Source organism: Homo sapiens, chromosome 18 (genome assembly GCF_000001405.40).
Source record: "Homo sapiens chromosome 18, GRCh38.p14 Primary Assembly".
NCBI classification, from domain to species: Eukaryota; Metazoa; Chordata; class Mammalia; order Primates; family Hominidae; genus Homo; species Homo sapiens.
The window spans coordinates 6,806,339-6,826,574 of record NC_000018.10 but is presented as its reverse complement, the minus strand read 5'-3'; the positions used below and the strand labels follow the sequence as shown (position 1 = coordinate 6,826,574).

Below are 20,236 nucleotides of genomic sequence, written 5' to 3'. Positions count from 1 at the left end.
AGGAATTTTGCAAGCCAGTTGTTAAACTCAGCCATTATTAAAAATTAAATTATATAAGCTTCAATGATATAAACTCTATTTTAATTAAAAAAAAAAAACTAAAGAGCTTCTACACAGCAAAAGAAACCATTAACAGAGTAAACAGACAACCAAGAGTATGGGAGAAAATATTCACAAACTATGCATCTGACAGAGGTCTAATATCCAGAATCTATAAGGAGTTTAAACAAATCAACAAGCGAAAAGCAAATAACTCCATTAAAAAATGGGCAAAGGATATGAACATATGCTTTTCAAAAGAAGACATACAAACAGACAACAAATACATGAAAAAATGCTCATCATCACTAATTATCAGAGAAATGCAAATCAAAACCAAACTGAGATATCATCTCACACCAGTCAGAATGGCTACTATCAAAACAGTCAAAAAAACAAACAGAAAAAAAAAAAAAAACACTGGCAATGCTGCAGACAAAAGAGAATGCTTAAGTACTGTTGTTGGTGGGAGTGTAAATTAGTTCAGCCACTGTGGAAAGCAGCTTGGAGATTTCTCAAAGAACTTAAAATAGAGCTACCATTTGACCCAGCAATCCCATTACTGGGTATAAACCCAAAGCAAAATAGATTATTATACTAAAAAGACACATGCACTTGTATGTTCATCGCCAAGCTATTCACAATTGCAAAGATATGGAATCAACCTAGCTACCCATGATTGGAGGACTGGATAAAGAAAATGTGATACATATACAAGATGGGATACTATGCAGCCATAAAAAAGAGTGAAATCATGTCCTTTGCAGCAATGAGAATGGAGCTGGTGGCCATAATCCTAAACAAATTAACACAGGAAGGGAAAACCAAATACTGCATGTTCTCACTTGTAAGCGGGCACTAAACACTAAGCACCCACAAACATAAACATGGGCACAATAGACACTGCAGACTACTAGAGGGGGGAGGTAGGGAAAGAGGAATGGGTCAAAAACTACCTACTGGGTACTATGCTCACTACCTGAGGGCAATATACCCATGTAAGAAACCTGCACATGTACCCCTTGTATATCTAAAATAAAAGTTGGAAAAAACAACAACATGGCTTTTATTTGGTGGAATACAAGACAATCTAATATAGTAATATGAGTAAATGCTTTAAGGTCAAATTTTTCTTCTTCACAATTATACTGCTAAAATTTCTCTCTCTCTAGTTAATAGTAATTAATAGTCAAGTATTAATTACTCTAATTAATAATAACAAATGAGTAGACAAATGTAAAAGCTGTCAGAATTAGAATACTCAATCTCCTTGATGGTAATGAATCAAACCAATAGACAGGCACAGCATCCCTAAGTAGCAGTATATAAGGCATCAATTTGTATTTTTGTTGAGGTCCAGCCCTCCTTGGGTCATGTCACCTGGGATAAAAGCCACCCTGAGCCAGTACAGTAGATATAAATCAATCAGTGGGAGTAGATCATCAATATGCCAGATTCTACTGATTCATTGGTTAAACTATTGGTGGGATGATTTCTGCCTATGAACAGAGTAACAGAGGGCAGAGAAAGAAAGCCAGTCAGCACATAGGAAGACAAATCCAGCAACTTACCATCCACAGGTGTGACCTCAGCTGGCGGTGGCTCTTCTTGCCCTCCCATGCTGCTGTCTTTAATACTTTCTATTTCCCGCCAGAAATCCTCCATGGAGGCGCTGTCTACGGAGGCTTCTGAGTTGGAACGGCTGAAGGCAGGAGGATGGAGGGATTCATTGGAGAGCATCCTGTTAATTCTTCGGCAGCGAGGAATGGATTTTCTGAGGAAAGAATAATATCTATGAATAAAAACGGGTTATATTTTTATGTTATAAAGCCACAAAATTAAATTTAATTAAGTTTAATTAATTAAGTTTAAATCAAATGGAGAAGTGGAGTAACCATGGTTGAGATAGGTTTGAGGGAATAATCTCCACTCAGTGGTGGCCCTTTTAAAAAAATTCTCTATACTTTATTTATTTTTTAATTTTTTAAAATGATTTTTTGAGTAAGAGTCTTGCTCTGTTGCCCAGGCTGGAGTATGGTGGCGCGATCTCGGCTCACTGCAACCTCCACCTCCTGGGTTCAAGCGATTCTCCTGCTTTTGCCTCCCGAGTAGCTGGGATTACAGGTGCCCGCCACCACGCCCAGCTAATTTTTATATTTTTAGTAGAGACGGGGTTTCACCACGTTGGTCAGGCTGGTCTTGAACTGCTGACCTTGTGATCCACCTGCCTCAGCCTCCCAAAGTGCTGGGATTACAGGTGTGAGCCACCACACCTGGCTAAAAAATTCTCTGTACTTTATAATGACTCTGTGGCCGTATAGGAATTAACATGAATATGTTTTTAATCATTTTCACACACTCATAAAATACAAAGTTACTTATACTAGTCAAAATATGCACAGTAAAAGTTTGTTTCTGTAACCTATCTATGGTGATGGCAGAGAAGGACATAAGAGTTGCTGCTCACAACCATTAGGTGGTTATTATTAAACAAACAAAAAACAGATAATCACAAGCGTTGGTGAACAGGTAGAGAAACTGCAACCCTTGTGCACTGTTGGCAGGAATGTAAAATGGGGCAGCTTTCTATGGAAAACAGTATGGAAGTTCCTCAAAAAATTAAAAATAGAGCCACCATACATGCATCTGTAATCCCAGCTATTTGGGAGGCTGAGATGGGAGAATCACTTGACCTGGAAGGCAGAAGTTTCAGTGAGCTGAGATCATGCCACTTGCACTCCAGCCTGGGCAACAGAGCAAGACTGTTTCAAAAAAAATAAAAGAAGGAAAATAATTTGCTTTCCTAACAAGTCAGTTTTGCTTAAAAATATAATTTTGATTGTAGGTAATACTAGAAAATATGTTACAGGCTTAAGAGGTTTAAATATGTCCCTAAATAAAATGTTCTTAAAGCCAAAAAAAAAAAAAAAAAAATTAAGAGCCACCATAAGACCCAGCAATTCCACTTCTGGGTATATACTCAAAAGAATTGAGAGCAGGGACTCAAAGTAATATTTGTCCATCCATGCTAATAGCATCCACTTAATAGCTTTTGGCTATTGACCATTCACAATAGCCAAAAGTTAGAAGCAACCCAAGTGCTATCAGCAGATGAATGGACAAGCAAAATGTGGTATAAAGGAAGGAAATTCAGACACAAGAAACAACATGGATGAAACCTGAGGACATTGTGCTAAGTGAAAAAGCCACTCACAAAAAGACGAATACTAGATTATTCCATTTACTTGTGGTGCTGAGTAGTCAAATTCATAGACAGAAAGCAGAATGGCTACTTCCAGAGGATAGGAGTGGGATGGGGCAGGGAGGAATGAGGAGTTCGTGTTGGTATGGGTTTGCAACTCCTTTCAAAGAATCTTCTCCAAGCTTGCCTTCTTGTCTTTGGGTTCAGGTGGAATTGGACAAAAAGACCAAGACTAACTCTTAAGCAATATATGGTCTGAGCTGTTTCACTCAAACAAGAGCTCCCAGGTGGAAAGAGGTAACTAGACCAATGGCACAATAACGTCCACTGTGGGTTTTATGACGACTTAGGACAATTACATGTTGACATGCTGAGCAGCAGCGGATTGTTATCAAATTTAGCCATGGCTAATGTAAAGCACACTGAATTCATGAGAGTACATAGAGGCAAAATAATGTTTCCATAATAACACCAAAAAATTTCCATTTGCTCATATGCTGTACACATCTAGGAATCCTCCTGGATTTCTAAATCGCATCTAAATTTAGTAGAGATTTCTGGAATTTTATCATTGATCTTTTCGTAGTATCTGACTCTAGTTCTATTTTTGAACATTAACTGACACCAAGATAGCCAATTTATTTTTTAAACCAAAACATTTCAGGAAAATATAAAATATCTACTTTTATTTTTTATGTGTTGTGTGATAAGAATTTTAGCTAGTTTTGTCTGATAACCGGGTGATAATTCTCGCTGAATTCTTTATAGTTCAACAAGTCAGACACATTCTAGCAGTTGAAATACCTATGAAATTGACAAGATAGTAAGACAGCTATTATTAATTTTATTATTTGTAGGCTTTGAAGACTTTTTCCTTTTGCAATAAGACTAATACTGAAAAACACCCACAAACTCATAGAGTACTAGTATATAAACACCTACTTCTTTTAAAACTGAAATCAGTTACCACTGCTCACACAGCCTCCTGCCCTCCATGTACCAGACTCAGAAAAAGTATATGGATATCTAAGACTTTTCTTAGTTCTAGGTTTTTTCGGCTAATTCCTTCAAAAAATAAATATGCTTGACTTATTAAAAAAAGACAGTCTTAATAGTAAACATGGACCATATTTAAAAAATTATAATGCAGTATAAGTGTTTACGTCTAATATACAATTGTATAAAGCAAAAATGGAAGGTCTTTTCCTCCCATCTGTACCATACCAATATTGTTCTATAAACTGCTTTGTTTTCCTGACTCAAAAACATGCAGACACTTTTTTTCAAGCCAATACGGTAATACCACCTCAATGGCTGCACCTGGATATTATCACAGATCTTAGAAATTAGACAAACAAGCAGATATATCCAAACACTGAAAATATTTGAAGAAGTATGAAATTTGTGAAATAATAGGTAAATCACAGAAGACAAGGGGAAGATACATTTAGGGCTAATGATGATATTTCAATTATGGTACATAGTTTCTTATTCATGCGAAGGGTCTACTAATGGAATCTCAGGGAAGAGACCCTCATAAAACTCTGCTGGGGACAGGGAGGACAGATGTGAAATATTATTGGTCATGAGCAGCTAAGTAACACACTGGTTCCTTCTGAAACAGTCCACCCAAAGAATCCTTTAATCACAATGATCAGCTTTTTTTTGGCAAAGAAGTCAGACAGCATTTTTGGGGATAAGAGCACTTGGAAGAGCTCTCACATTTTTGGTTAGAGATACAAATGTTTTTCCTTCACCCCAGGGTGGAGAAGGAACCATGAATTTCCACTCTTGAAACATTACGTAATTTTGACCCTCAGGCCCATCCAACAGTTTGATGAGCCTTAATGGGCAGCTTCATACCTCACCATATTAGGAGAAAATGGAGTTTAGGCTTCATCAGCTGTTTTTGCCTTTTTATTTCCAAACAATACCAGGAAAATATTACATGACAAATTGAATGCAATTGTGTTACACAGAAACTTTTGTTGGAAAAACACCACAAGGTTTAAAATTAAATTTCAAGTGTACGATAATTATCATAAATTCAAAGTGGCATTAAGAAAAGATTTTATTATTCTATTTTTTCTTCCATTGTCTTTTTAGCCATAACTTATACTATATTTTAGTAGATACCAGAGATCTTTATTACTATTCACATGGAATTAGTATTTTATAACTTCACAACAGTGTAAATATCTTACAGAATATAATTCTCCCTCTACCCTTTATATTACTGTTGTCATCTATGTTGCTCCCTCAGATGTTTACATCCCCCAATAGTTATTATTGTTGTTGCTTTAAAATAGTAAGTTTTTTGAAAAACTAAATACATGGTCTTTTAAATTTATCTTTTCTAGAGTTTTTCATTCCTCCCTACATATCTGTGTTTCCACAACAGATCCTTTCTCTTCATTTTTGAGAACTTCCTTGAGCATTTCTCTCGCATTCCTTAGCATTTCTTGTACTGTGGATCTGCTGACAACAAATTCCCTCAGCTTTATTTCTGAATATGTTTTTAATTTATTTCCATTTTTGACAAATATTTTTTACTGGGCATAGAACTCTAGGCTGACAGTTTTTGTTTAAATCCTTTTAAAGAAGTCATTCCATTGTCTTGTTGAGTCTATTGATTCTGATGAGAGTCAGTTACAATTCTTTGATGTTCTTTTAAATATAGTATCTGTTCTATCTGCTCATAATAGATTTTATCTTTATCTTTTGCTTTCAGCAATTTGAGTGTAGTTCTCAATTCTGATTGAGGTTTACTGAGCTTCAATCTGTGGGCTAATGTCTTTCATCAATTTTGGAATATATCCACATCCATTTTCTCTTCCAATATTTCTTCTGTCACTTTTCCTCTCTCCTCTCCTGGAACTCCAATAACATGACTGTCAGGCTGTTTGATGTTGCCCCAAATGTTCTTCATAATCTGCTTTGCTTCCCTCCCCCAACTCTCTCTCTGCTTCAGTTAAAACATTTCTATTTCACTGTCTTCATTTTTCCTCACTTCTACTGTGTTCAGTCAGCTTAGTCTTCCAATGAATACTTCACTTCCAATATTGTATTTTTTTCATATCAAGAATATCCAATTAGTTCTTTTTAGAGATTCAGTTTCTCTGTTGACATTATCTATATTTTGATCAATTTTTGCCCATCTATCCTCTAATTTCTATAACATATTATAATTGTTATTGGAAAGATCTTATCTCTTAACATCAGTATCTATGCTGTTAATATGTCTGATTAAATATTGATATAAAAACGACCAGTTGCTTATAGGTCACATTTTCCTTTTTCTTCACATATTTCATAACTTTTTATTAGATGGCAGATGTTGTTTTTTAAAAGAACTCTAGAAAACTGGAGTAAATAAAGGTTTCCCCCAGAAAGGGCAAGGCTTTTCCTCTATTTGGTAGATAGAGTGAGAGGCAGAGCATGTCAATCCAATCAGGAGTTGAGCTGGGTCTGGGCTGGGTTGCAATTTACATTAGTTTTCATTTATCTCTGGTTTCAAATGCTTCAAGGGGGAGATCTGTCCTGTGTGTACTATAGGTCCCTCCTGCTAAAAGCGTTTTGAGATAAACACCATGGGACTACAGAGATCTCTCTCTGCTTTACAGCCTGGTCCCCTGTGTTGCTGGAATCCTGTATTGCCAGGGCTCCCAGCAAAAATCCCAAGGGGCAGAGTTGTTGAGTGGGGAGAACTAGCTCTGCATTTGGAGCTTCTACAAATTCCAATCTCTTGTGCTAGTGCAGGCAGCCATTAACAGCTCCACTGGTGTCTCCTCATCCCGGTAGAGTCCCTCCACCTAGACAGGTATGACCTTTGGCCCAGAACTGCAGAAACTCAGGGAGCAGACATGCCCAGGGAGGTAATGACCACTTGGCTCTGCTTATGTCACAAGAGTTCTTCTTCCCTGGAACTTGGCTCCTTCAGACTTCTTTGTATCCACAGCTCTCCAACATAGTTTTTAAAATATAGATTTTTATATTTATTCCTTTTTTTTTCTAGCTGCTACAGTGGGAACGGTAGTCTGTCACAAACTAGTCTACATCCTAACTGGTAGCAGAACTCCCACAAAACATTGTAAACATAACAGATATTTTTAAAAAGTTGCATTTGTTTATGCACAGCTTGCTCTGTGTAACCACAAGTTTAGTTGTTAAGTATATTCCAAAAAAATATTTTTAAAAGACATACTTCTTACTATGAAATACTCTATGGGCCTTTATTATCTGTTATTTTATGGAGAGGTTTATACATAACGAGTTACTGTCATACGCATTACATCATTTGATCCTTATATGCACCCCACGAAGTAGCCAAAGCCAGTATTGTACGTCTCATTGCACAGCAATGGAGAGAGTTACTGGGAGCAAAGTGGGGACACGTAGCTTCCCCTTGCAGTTATAAGTAAATGTGAATTCTGTTCTGTGACTTCAAGGTTCAGCACCTTCTGTCCTCAAAACTTCTTTGCTAGTCTTACCTTACATCACTCTCCCACGGCATTAGCACTGGGCATGCTAATCTTTCCTCAGTTTCTCTAAAAAGCCAAGTTCTTTCTTCCCTTAGGAAATTTACTCTTTCTGCTCTTTCTTCCTGCAACCTTCTTTCTCCCCAAGCAATTTCTGCAGCAAGATGCCTCTCATCATTCAGCTTGCAATGTAAATGCCACCTCTTGGGGGATCCCTTTCCAGGCCACTCTAATGTAGCATTCCTCCAGTTATTCGCTGTCTCAGCTCTCGGGGTTCCCTGCTTCTCATTCATCAATAATAAACACTTCATGCACTCATTTGCTTACTTTGTTTTGGGGGGGTCTATTTTCCCCACTAGAATATAGAGGAACCATGTTTGTCTTATTAACACAGTGTGTGGCAAAGGAAAACAACGCAGAAATACTTGCTGAATGAATGACTAGCGTCAGTGGAGCCAGGACAGGAATTCAACCTTTCCCCGTCTGGTCCAAATGCTCTCCCTCCTGTAATTGTTCTTAATTTCAAAAGCCCCCTCAGGTATTTGTGTAACTGCTTATAGCTGTAAATATTTTTATAGCAGAGAAGTGATATAGTGTGGTGATTTAGACAAAAACTCTGAAGCCAGCTAGCACAGGTTTGAATGCGGGCTACAGCTCTACAATCTTGAACAAACTACTGGACCTCTGTGACTCCATTTCCTAAACAGTAAAATGGGGATATTAATCACATGCACTTCGAGGGGCTGTTACGAGGAGTGAATACATGTAAAATGCCTGGCACATAGTCAACCCGTGTGTTAGTGATTGCTACAATTTAATTAATTTGATAGCATGTCCAGAGCTAGATTTAGGGTGTGGCTATCATGGGTGCTAAAATATAACAAGTACATAAAAATGTCCCTAGAGATATCATGAGATAAATAAAACTGTATTTATCAGAATTGCTCTCTGACCCAAGTCTATTCCCAACCCTGTTGTCCCAACTCCCTTGGCCCAGAAGTGGCTATCTGACACAATTCTGGCCAAAGTCACATAAGTAAAAGTCTTCTCCAGGGTTGCAGTGAAATCCTTTGTTTTCCTGATATAGGTGCCATCCCTTTCTCTTTCCCATTCTCCCTCCTTGGAATGTGGACAAGATGACTGGTGCTGCAGCAGCCACCTTGCCCATTATGAGAGAAAAGCCAAGAAATTGTAGCAATTGGCCTTGATATTACTGAGTTTTAGAAATAACACCAGATGCTGCCTATCTCTGGACTTCCAGAAATGTGAGAAAAATAAATGCCTATTTTTAAAACCTACTCTCATCTTTGTTGTGTTTGTTATTTGCAGCCAAAATCATTCCTAACTGATAATGGGAAGGAATGTTCTAATAAGTCATTTGGGGCAGAGTGAGATGAGACACCCTCTGTATCCCACTAAGGGGAATATTCAAGTAACAATTTATAGTCAACACAACCTGCCTCGTAAGGAAGGTGGGTGGCATCTAACAATTCTCTCTTCTTGTTTTGTTTTGTTTTTTTTTTGTTTGTTTGTTTTTGGAATGGAGTCTTGCTCTGTAGCTCAGGCTGGAGTGCAGTGGCATGATCTCAGCTCACTGAAACCTCCGTCTCTGGGTCCCAGTTCAAGCAATTCTCCTGCCTCAGCCTGCTGAGTAGCTGGGATTATAGGCATGCACCACCATGCCCAGCTAATTTTTGTTTTTTTAGTAGAGACGGGGTTTCACCATGTTGGCCAGGCTGGTCTTGAACTCCTGACTTTTTTTTTTTTTTTAAGACAGGGTCTCTGCCACCCAGGCTGGAGTGCAGTGGTGCAATCATAGCTACTTGCAGCCTCAATCTCCCAGACTCAAGAGATCCTCCTGCCTCAGCCTCCCAAGTAGCTGGGACTACAGGTGTGCACCACCACACCTGGCTAATTTTTTTTTGTTTTTAGTACAGATGAGGTCTTGTTATGTTACCCAGACTAATCTTGAACTCCTGAGCTCAAGCGACTCTCCTGCCTTGGCCTCCCAAAGTGCTGGGATTACAGGTGTGAGCCACCACACCTGGCCTTCACAGAATGATTCTCAATTGTAAGGGCTACCAAATTATTAGCCTAACCCCATGTCTTGGTCTGGCTTTGATCAGTACATTACGGAGTTAAACTTCCTGCTGAAAACATCCCCACCTACATGTACAGGGAATATCTTCACGTTGCTCTCAAACTGAACAGATTCCATGAGTTTTGGGAAGAATATACCAAAACCAAAGATTTCGCCTTCCCTCTACTAGAGAAGAGGAAGACTTGAGTTCTCCATTATTTGTCACTGCCGTTGAATGATGCTGGTGGCAGCACAGTGTGGACATCTAGAGAAATTCCCGTGGATACTGATTGCAGTGAGCCTGTAGCAGGACTCTTTCAAAAGAAACCACTGACTCTCTGGAATAGACCCTGGCACAGTCCAGTTCCACAGCTGTCTGCCCTTTTAGCTTCCTCAGAAGGCCGTTCAGATAGAGCAAGAGGACAAATCCCTTGTTTCTTATGCTCTGGCTTCTCAGTAATCTTTGGATTCTAACATGTTTATAAACAACTCAACTTGGATGTCCTGCAAAAAGCACTTGAAAGGCAATAATGATAAAAAGAAGCCATAGTTTCAGACTAACAGGACCAAGAACACAGAAGGGGTTTCTGCCTTCATTCTCAGGCTCCCAACTCTCTTCTTCTATCTTCCTGCCATCTCATCAGTTTTCTCTGTTACTTGCCTGGCTGGCCTCATCCCTCTTAGAGGAAAAGAAGAAAGCGAACAAAGCTTTCATGAACAGGTAAATAGATCTGCCTGAACCTCTCTGTTGGCAGCAAAGAATACAGAAAAATGTGTTTGTAGATTGGGAAGGCTTAAAACAGCAAACAAATCTTTACTTATGCAGCAGGGAATATGGAGGGTTGGATTCTTTCTTTAAAAAAAAAAAAACAATGACACATCAGTAATTAAGTTGGTAGGCATTTATGGATAACCTCTGAGTACAGCACTATGCAAGTAATGGGAACGGTGGCAATGGAAGAATGAACAACTTCAAACCAAAAATTCACGTGATGTACTTTATTGTGACATTAGCTTTATTGCAGAGGTCTAAAACCAAACCCACAATATATTGAGGTATGCCTGTACATAAATTATATATGTGTGTGTGTATGTGTGTGCTTTATATATGACAAACTGAAATATAATCTGTTTCTTAAATTTCCCCATCTTTGTCTGAGGGAGGGAGAGATGGAGAGTGACTGCTAATAGGTGATAATATCTATGTTCTAATATTAATCAGTGGCGATATCCCAACTTTGTGAATACACTAAAAACCACTGAACTGTACACTTTAAAGGAGTAGATTTTATGTTATATGAATTGTATCTCAATTTAAAAATGTATGAGAATTACCCCTGCTTTTATTTTTTTTAATTTTGATAATTAAAAGTGCTTTGAGATTTCAAATATTCTTAAGGAAAGGCAAAAATTTTCCCAAAGGGGCATGGGTTGAGAAAGATTTAAAGACACTTCTATGAAAGGTTACTGGTTGCTTTTAGCAAAGGCTAACAGTCAGAGGTAGGAAATGATCTTGCTCCCTGTTCGGCTAATAATCATCCACGTAATGACAGGCTAAAATGTCTGCTTTGCAGGCAAAGTAAATCACTAAATGTGAACGTTTTATGTTATGTCTGTGTTAAAACTAATATGCAATTTATAAGCTTGACATATATATTGATTTTGGTAACGCTCAGTCAATCCCACAAGTGACTCTTAACACATTATCCCCAAAGATAAATTGAGGTTATGAGTAGAGAACTAGTTTGGTGCCACCTAATCATTGCTCAGGGGCTCATATTTTTTATCCAATTAGGGGCTACTCAGGAAGGAATCTATGAAAGAGAATATGAGCAAAAAGAAGCTTTTTCTGGCTCTTTACTAACATTCTACCCACTGTCCATTCAGCAACATGTCACTCTAAGAGTCTTGGTGAACTCTAGGTTTTGTGCTTCTGAATTTACACTTCACCAAGTAATCTGGATAAACATCTTTTTAAAAATTGTCTTTTTATATCAAAAGTAAGTACATATTCTCTCTATTGCTTAATGCCAAATTGCAGTATATATTTTGATTATGTAGTTTTGAGGGGCCTGCTACAGCTAGCACTACTATGTATGGCTTTCAAAGCAATTAAAAGTGAGCCCCCCATTCCAGCATCATCTAAGAATTTACCTTGACTTTCTAGCTCCCTCCTGCCTCTCTGATGCTGTGATGTATTTGCTGGAATGCAGCCATTTAGCCCCTGTTTCTTCTAAATCTCTGGTCTCCATTTATTGCCATTATTACCTAGTCATTAACCTTCAGTCAGGAAATGTATAAATTCTGCTTGATTGTATCCTCGTATTGCTTTTCAGTTTCCTTTGTCTGTTTTCTCGCTTCAGCTCCAAAAATTCAATAATAGCAGAACAGAATCACAAGGTCAAGGGTATTATCCGGCAATCTCTCTACCTGCTTGGTGTCCCATGTGGGCTTTCTCAGGTGGATGGGCTTTACAGAGCTTGGTCCAGCTTCACAGGCTTTCCCTGAGTGGGACTGGCTTTCCTCCTCATGGGCCCTCACTTCAGCTCAGCTTCAAACTATTCCGTACAAAGTCCACAGTGAAACACAAGTACAAACTTATTAAATTCTATGAGGGGTGAGTTGGCCATTTGAATGAAGGCGTATCAACCTTCCTTATTCTTCTTCTTTCACAATATGCTTTTTCCACACTTAGAGTCACTCCATGACAGTTTTAACTCTGTAGGGTCCCCTGGAGAATAACCATTCTGTGCTCCATCAGTTGTGATTGGCTGACTTTGAGAAGGCTGCTTCCTAAGTTCCACATAAACAGCTTTGAATTGGAAAGCCATAACTAGGGTTTCCAATGAAACAGAGGATCCCAGGATTGGAGATCCTCTGTTTGAGAGGGAGATCCTCTGATTGAGACGGAATTTCAGAAATGCCTGAATAAATCACCACATTTTATAGATACGAAAAATGAATCTCAGAGGGGCAGTAAGTTGTCCAAAATGACACAGCTAATTATTGAGAAATGGAACTACAAATTTGGTCTCCTGGTGCCTAATTCCATGCTCTTTCCCCCATCACCCGTCTCCTGCCTATTTATACTTTATATTCTTCACTAACTTAAAAAATATAAGGCTTCACACTTTTATAGTAGAGATTATCCTTTTTGTCCCCTTAATGTATTTCTGAAAAGCATATGACAAAATAAGTTATCAAATTGAGTATATTTTTACTATAAAATATGCTGAGAAATATATCCCCAGCCAAAAGTTTTATTAAAGATCAAAGAGAGCTATGTGCATAATTATCATAAAATATATGGATGTTTAAAAATGTATGTAAAGCTCTCTAAAAATCTGAAAGTGAACCAATAAAATTGGCAGGTGTAGCAGACCAAATACACTGGCTATGTAAGTTATATATAGAGAGAGAACTACACATTAAAAAGCAACTGCTGTATATTTGATCTAAAAGGAGTGTATCAGCACTATTCACTATTAAACATGAATGACATTTTAAGTTTACCCATAGGTTAACCTATTAGAATGCATGGAGTTTCTTGAAATGGCATCAATAATTCGTGTCTTCTATTTTAAAATCATTCAAGAAAGAAGAAGCTAAGACTTCCATTTTACTCAGCTTTCCCTGTGGTAGGTAGAGACATTTCCAAAGTATCATAGCCAAGTTAAAATATGATAAATTCTAAATCCACATTCTTATTATTCACATCGACAATAATCATCGTCCACCCAACTGAAAGCATTTGACATTAGTTCTCTACCTCACCCTCTCCAGTTTACTGAAAACACTGTTCATCATCAGATGAATTCCTTGAGAAAACTGCAAAGCCAGCAGTCAGAGCACTTCATGCTGTTTAAAAATGCCATGAAAACAACAGTCATAATTAGGACCCTCAAAATCCCTCTCACTGCATGACAAAGAAAGGCACAGATCAGTAATCTGAATGCCAATGGTCAACATGAACGTTAGAAAGACAAGAGCTGTAAGTTCTGTCAAAGGAGAATCAAATAAATAATTTGATAGTGGCTGACACTTCACACTGTGGGGTTCTTGTCATCAGTATCTCTGAAGCTCTTCCACAGTCGAGGTGAATGGCTTTAAGGAGCTCAGCATCTAATCCCTGACAGCAGACGAAAAGCTATATGTCTCTGATCAATAGCTGATGCCATGGGGATGGAGAGTAATTTATTTTCTGTCATCTTAGTCAGGTGAAGCTCTTTCTAAGAGGAATAACCCAAATCAGGAAGGTTTCCCTCCTAAGCCTTCCTGTCCGCTCATTTTCCAGTAATGTTACTGCCTTACTCTACCACTGGCCAGCATTCATCATGATAGCCATTCCTTGAATAGACTCTTTTGTGAGCAAATCTGTTGAGCTTTCATTCAATTTTTAAAAACACAGAGAAATAAGATCTTGCATTTCACTTATTTACTTCTAATTATTTAAAACAAGAAGCTGCCTAGTAATATTTTGATTTTGATGGCTAGCCAAGTGATATATTGGAAAAGGGTTTTAATTTTGCTTCCATTTTCCATTCTAAAGCTCCCTCTTTAAAACAAAAATTACCCATATTCTGCTTACCAGAATATCTATATTTCAGTAGAGGTGTAAAACAAAATTCTACCAAGGCTCCCACTAGTCCAAACAGCTCCTCTGTATGAATTAAATAAAGACTAGCCTCTGTGGGAAAATATGGTTTGGCTATTGGAGCAAGGCTGCATTCTTAGTCAGAAAACAACCTGCAAAAGTATTCATTGACCCTGAATTCTGCTCAGTGACTCACAGTTTCCCATTTATTTCCATTATAGAATTCTTCTCGAAAAATGTCTGTCTCCAGCCAAACTTTTGGAATCATATAGTTGAGAAAAAAAGTTTTATTAATTGAATGGTAAATGTGGATTGATATTAATTCATTGACAAAAATTAATAATTAATGGGAAAGATTGTGAATATTACATATGGCTATTTGAGTAACCTTTTGAGAAATATGCTTTTACAAAAGATTTTCTGGTTTTATTATCCCAGGAAGAATTAAAAAAAAGAAAAAACAGCACTATGTATTTCTCTAAAGGAGGCACGAAACTAAATACATTGTAGTAGAAAAAAAAATAGACGTGTAATGTTAAAAACTCTAGAAGGAAGGTAAGCGAAAGTTTCTAGAGCCCTCCCACAGCCCTCTGCACTTCTGAACACAGTGAACACGACTAGTTAAGGTCTACTGTACTTAGAAATATGTTTGAATGTACTTAATAGACATATAATAGGTAACCTGTACATAGCAAACCCTCAAAAATGTTTACTGAAAGAAGTGAACAGACTTTGAAAAGGAAGAGTGGCTAGGTCTATTTCCCACTTTGGTAGGTGAATGCATGACAATCGGCAAATTCAATGCTGGTTCAATGAAGATTCTTGTCCTTCTTCAGCCTTTTCTTCTCTCCAGTCTACCAAATTAGTTATTAATAATGTTCATATCAATGATTTTAGATGTTTTATTCATTTAGTCAATGAACATTATATTAACACATCAGTAAGTTTGTAGAAAGTTGGCAAGGGTGACCCCAGTTGCAGCAGCAAGATTAAGAATCCAGGAATATCCTTCAAATGGCCACATACTGTAGATACTTTTACAATCAATTGGACTAGAACTCTGTAATATTTGACTCAGCTGATAGGCCCTCCTTCTTGAAACTGGTGCAGTGGCTAGGAGTATTCATTTTGCTAAAAATTTCTTACAGAACTTTATAAAACACAGATGTTTGGGCCCTAATCACACAGAAATTTCAATTCAGAAGATTTGGGGAGAGGCCCAAATCTATGTATTTTTATTAGCACCCCACCCCCATGACCACTATGTAATGCTAGTGCCACTTATTTGTTAGACAGACTTTGAGAAACACAGATCTGTCTCCTAGCAGAATGAACACTCTCTCCTGATTCTCTAAAACTCTCTGAATAGGCTCCTCTGTCTACTTTCTGAATGCTCTTTCTTTATCTACTGGCACCTCACAAAGTTCCACCTCTAGCACACAGCTCTTCATACTCTATATAACACCCTCTCCCCAAAGCTTTTCCTACCTTAGAGTTTAGCTTTAACCTATACGATGATACATTTCCAGTCCTTAACCCCATCCTTAACTACTCCCTCAGACTCACATCTAACAACCCACTGGGCTGGGCCCATGCCTATAATCCCAATACAGGGATTGGGATTATTGGAAGGTCAAGGGGGGCTGATTGCTTGAATCCCAGAGTTTGAGACCAGCCTGGGCAACATGGTGAAACCCTGTGTCTACAAAAGGAAAAAAAAAAGCCCACTGAACATCTCTATCTGGATGTTGCAATGAAACTGCTCAAGACAATGGGATGTAGTTACTCAACCATACATCCTACAGACTGATGACTGGGTGCCTTTGTTCATGCTTTCCCTGGGCTTGGAATCTTTCCTTCCACTGCTATCTGACTTAATGTAAGATTCATTTTAGGTGCCCTCTCCTGAAGGCAAGAACTTCTCAAACCCATCCTTCATTCCTTTATACATGGGCTGATGCAATTCTGAGCATACTTCTATCAATACACTTACTGGTATCTCATAAAAAATATAAAAATAATTTGTAGGTAGATGCTTTGGAATTCATACAGAGATAAAGGCAGAAACTTATATCGAACTTTCTCAACAATCAGCTGAAATTTTGGCTTGATAGCAAAAAGGAAAAAACTAAATTTCTCCAAAGTATCCATTAATTCAGAGGTGAAGGTGAATTAGGAAACACATGCAAAGAGAAGACTAAAAATTTATTTCTGAAGAAATTTACTGACTATAATATAGTGACAATGATTAGTTTAACAACTGTTTATTGAGTACCTAAAAATACTAGGTACAAGATTCAAGATGCCAGACACCATTCTAGGTACTGCAAATCTAGCAATGAACAAAAAGGCCTAGCCCTTTGATATGGTTCGGCTCTGTGTCCCCACTCAAATCTCATGTTGGATTGTAATCCCCAATGTTGGAGGTGCGGCCTGGTGAGAGGTGATTGGATCATGGGGGTGGTTTCTAATGGTTTAGCACCCCTAATAGTTTAGTCTCCCTAGCGATGTTTCATGATAGAGTTCTAATAAGATCTGGTTGTTGTAAAAGTATGTAGCACCTCCCCCTTTGCTTGCTTGTTTTCTCTTTCTCTCTCTCCTGCTGGCCATGTAAATATGTGCCTGCTTCCCCTTCACCTTCTGCCCTGATTGTAAGTTTCATGAGGCCTCCCCAGAAGCAGAAGCCTGTACAACCCACAGAACCATGGGCTGGTTAAACTTCTTTCCTTTATAAATTACCCAGTCTCAGGTATGTCTTTATAGCAATGTGAGAATGAACTAATACACCCTCATTATGGTTTCATTCTAGTAAGGGCAAATGGAGCCAAAACAAATACTTTATATGGTCATTTGTGCAGGTACGTAGGTTAAAAATATATAAAGTGAATTTCCATTTCCAACTATGACAGCAATGGGGATAAAAATTACTCTCCCACTATAAACAACTAGAAACTGGACAAATAGAGGAGGCAACCATTTTAAGATTTGACAAGAGGCAAAACAGGACTATGATGCCAGGGAGAAAGAAAACAAATTAAATTAGCCTTCTAATCAATGTAGCTTTCTACTTAGAGGAATTTCCAAAATAGAGCACATGGAAGGAGTTCCTGCACAGAGCCCAGTAGTCTCACTGAGGTGAAGAAGCAGAGATCAAAGCTCAGGAAGGCGAGTTGGCTAGAATCTTCTGGTCAGAGCACCAGAAAAAATAAAATCAATGAAGAGATATTGCTTTAGGAATTGGCATGGGGGTCCCCTTGACTCTGGCTGAATGCCCATCAGGGCTGCATGAGTTGAACCTTCTCAAGATCAGGCAAAAATTAACTTCTACACAAAGAACCACGGAGCTATAATCCAAAAGTTCCCACTGCTCATACAGAGCTAGGAAAATGTATGTACACTGGTGTGTATACTAAAAATATATATATCAAGTGGACTTATGCTTTAAACCATGACAGAGTAAGACTTCACACTTGCCAGAGTAAAGAGACATGGTCAAATACACAAGATATACAATGGAAACCTTAGAAGTCTCATGCCTTACTAAGAAGGCTAAATTTGCTCTAGCTAGAGGCTGCTCTAGAATGTAACCCCCGAAAAAATATCCACAAGAAACTGAACTAGCTGCCAAAATACAGCTGTACACTCTTTAAGGAAATACAACAAAATCTAGGACTTGACCACTTGAAATTGACAACTTCCAAAATCCAATGAAAATTACTTAATAAATGAAAAAGAAAGAAAAAGGAACAAATAATGAGAAGAAAAATCTCAATAGAAAGACACAGAGATGATGGAGTTAGCAGAAAAAATGTTAAAACAGCTATAATAAAAATACTCAAAACCTTTAAAGCTTTAAAATACAACATGAATAAGGAAAAAGAAGACATAAATGATGAAATGTCTATACATAAAAAATACAATATGTGAAATAATACCTCCAATGAGTAGAATTAACAATACATTAGATACTGGTGAATAAACAGAAACACACAGAGAAAAAAGAGTGAAAAAATAAATAAACAGAGCCCCTGTGACCAATAGGAGGATATCAGATGGCCTCATAAATGTGTCAGCTTCCAGCCGAGATGGAGTAACAGGAACCAGACTCACTTCCCACTTGAAATGAAAAACACACACACATACATACACAAAATATATGAAACGATTCTCAAGATATTGAATGTCAGGAAGCTGAAAACAGTGATCCTGGAGGAACAGGGAATAAACAAGTTGAGCCCTACAATAGCCCCAGTTTATTGCTTAGGGAGAGCTTCCAGGCCATGGGGCAGAAGCAGGGAACCCAGCTGAGCCTGAGGGTCTGAGTTTAGGAAATGGAGCTGGGAATCAAGGAAGCCCTGGAGCTCACATAACAGGATACTGGTGAAGAGAGATCTCCAAAGACAGAGAACTCTGGAGCTCCTCAGAGGAGCCCCGTCAAGCCTTCAGCTGAATAGAATCAGCAAATTCATATATGGAAACTACCCTCAGTCAGGGAAAATCACTGGAAGAATCAGATAACAGGATCCCAGTAATCACCGAGGGTCAGGAATAGTTTGTGTTCTCAGCAGCTTAAGTGGAAAAGTTCATAATTTATAAGACCATGGATAGAGTATTCAGAAGAGTTTTGCCTCTAGAGTGGGGAAAAGCTTTTTCTTAGACTAAATGCTCTGGTCTTACCTGACAAATCTTAAAAGTAAGATATGAAAGGATCAAATAGTTTTCAAGTGCCAGAACAAAGCTCAAAAATATTTATAGAACTATAAAAGTATCCAGCCCCTAATAAAAAAAAATCCACACTGCAAATTCCAATAAAAAATGACGAGGCTTGCAAATAAGCAAGAGAATATGACCCATAATGAGGAGAAAATGCAATCACTACAAATGAACCTTGTAATGACAGGTGACAGAATTAGTAGACAAGGACATGAAAACAGTTATTACAACTTTATTCTGCATGTTTAAGAAGCCAGCGAAAATACTGACATCTTAAGAAAACACAAAGAAAATTTTCTAAACACCCTAACAGAATGATGAAAACACAAAAACCACAGATTCAAGGAGTTCAATAAACTCAAAGGATAAGAAATATGAAGAAAACAACACCATGGTGCACCGTAATCAACTTATTTGAATTAGCAATAAAGAAAAAATCGTAAAATCAATTAGAGGAAAACAAACAAAAAAGCCTGTATGTACAGAGGAATAAAGAAAAGGACGCCAGCAGATGTTTTTGTCAGAAACAATACAATCTGAAAGATAGCATAACAACATCTTTTAAGTACTTGAAGAAAAACTATCAACCCAATGAAAATATCCTTTGAAAATAAAAGAGAAATAAGGTTTTTTTCAGACATAAAAATGATGAAAGATTCAGCAGCAGCAGATCTTCCCCATAAGAAATGTTACAGGAAATCCTTCAAGCAGAAGGAAAATGATACCAAATGGAAATATGAATCTATAATGAGAATGAAGAGCATAAGGAACAGTAAGTTCAAGGTTAAATATAAAATTATTTTCCGATTACTTAAATGTCCTTAAAATTGATTGTTTAAAACAAAAATAATAAAAATGCATGACAATAGCAGAAAGGCCTGCAAGGGAGAAGGAGATACAGAAGTGGACTGTTATAAAATTTTTGTCATATATATATATAACAAATAAAAATATAGTCATATTTGACTATATCACTATTCTCTTTGCATATATATATATTTCAATCTTTTTTTCTGTTTTATTTTGGAAAGTTTCTACTGCTTTTGCCTACAAATTCACTAATCTTTTTCTTGTGCTATGTCTACTATGCCATTAATCTACTCAGTTTATTTTTAACCTCAGACAATTTA

The 20,236-nt window shown here is 37.6% G+C and overlaps 1 protein-coding gene across 12 annotated transcripts in view; it reads right to left on the bottom strand.

The window, feature by feature from the left end:
• The window catches only part of ARHGAP28 (Rho GTPase activating protein 28), a 186,001-nt gene that overhangs the window by 89,142 nt on the left and 76,623 nt on the right, over positions 1-20,236 (bottom strand). For all 12 annotated transcript variants that reach the window (NM_001366230.1, XM_005258146.3, NM_001410873.1 and 9 more), the window contains one exon: positions 1,611-1,813. In NM_001366230.1, the coding sequence (NP_001353159.1) occupies positions 1,611-1,813 (203 nt within the window). The remainder of the gene's footprint in view (positions 1-1,610; positions 1,814-20,236) is intronic.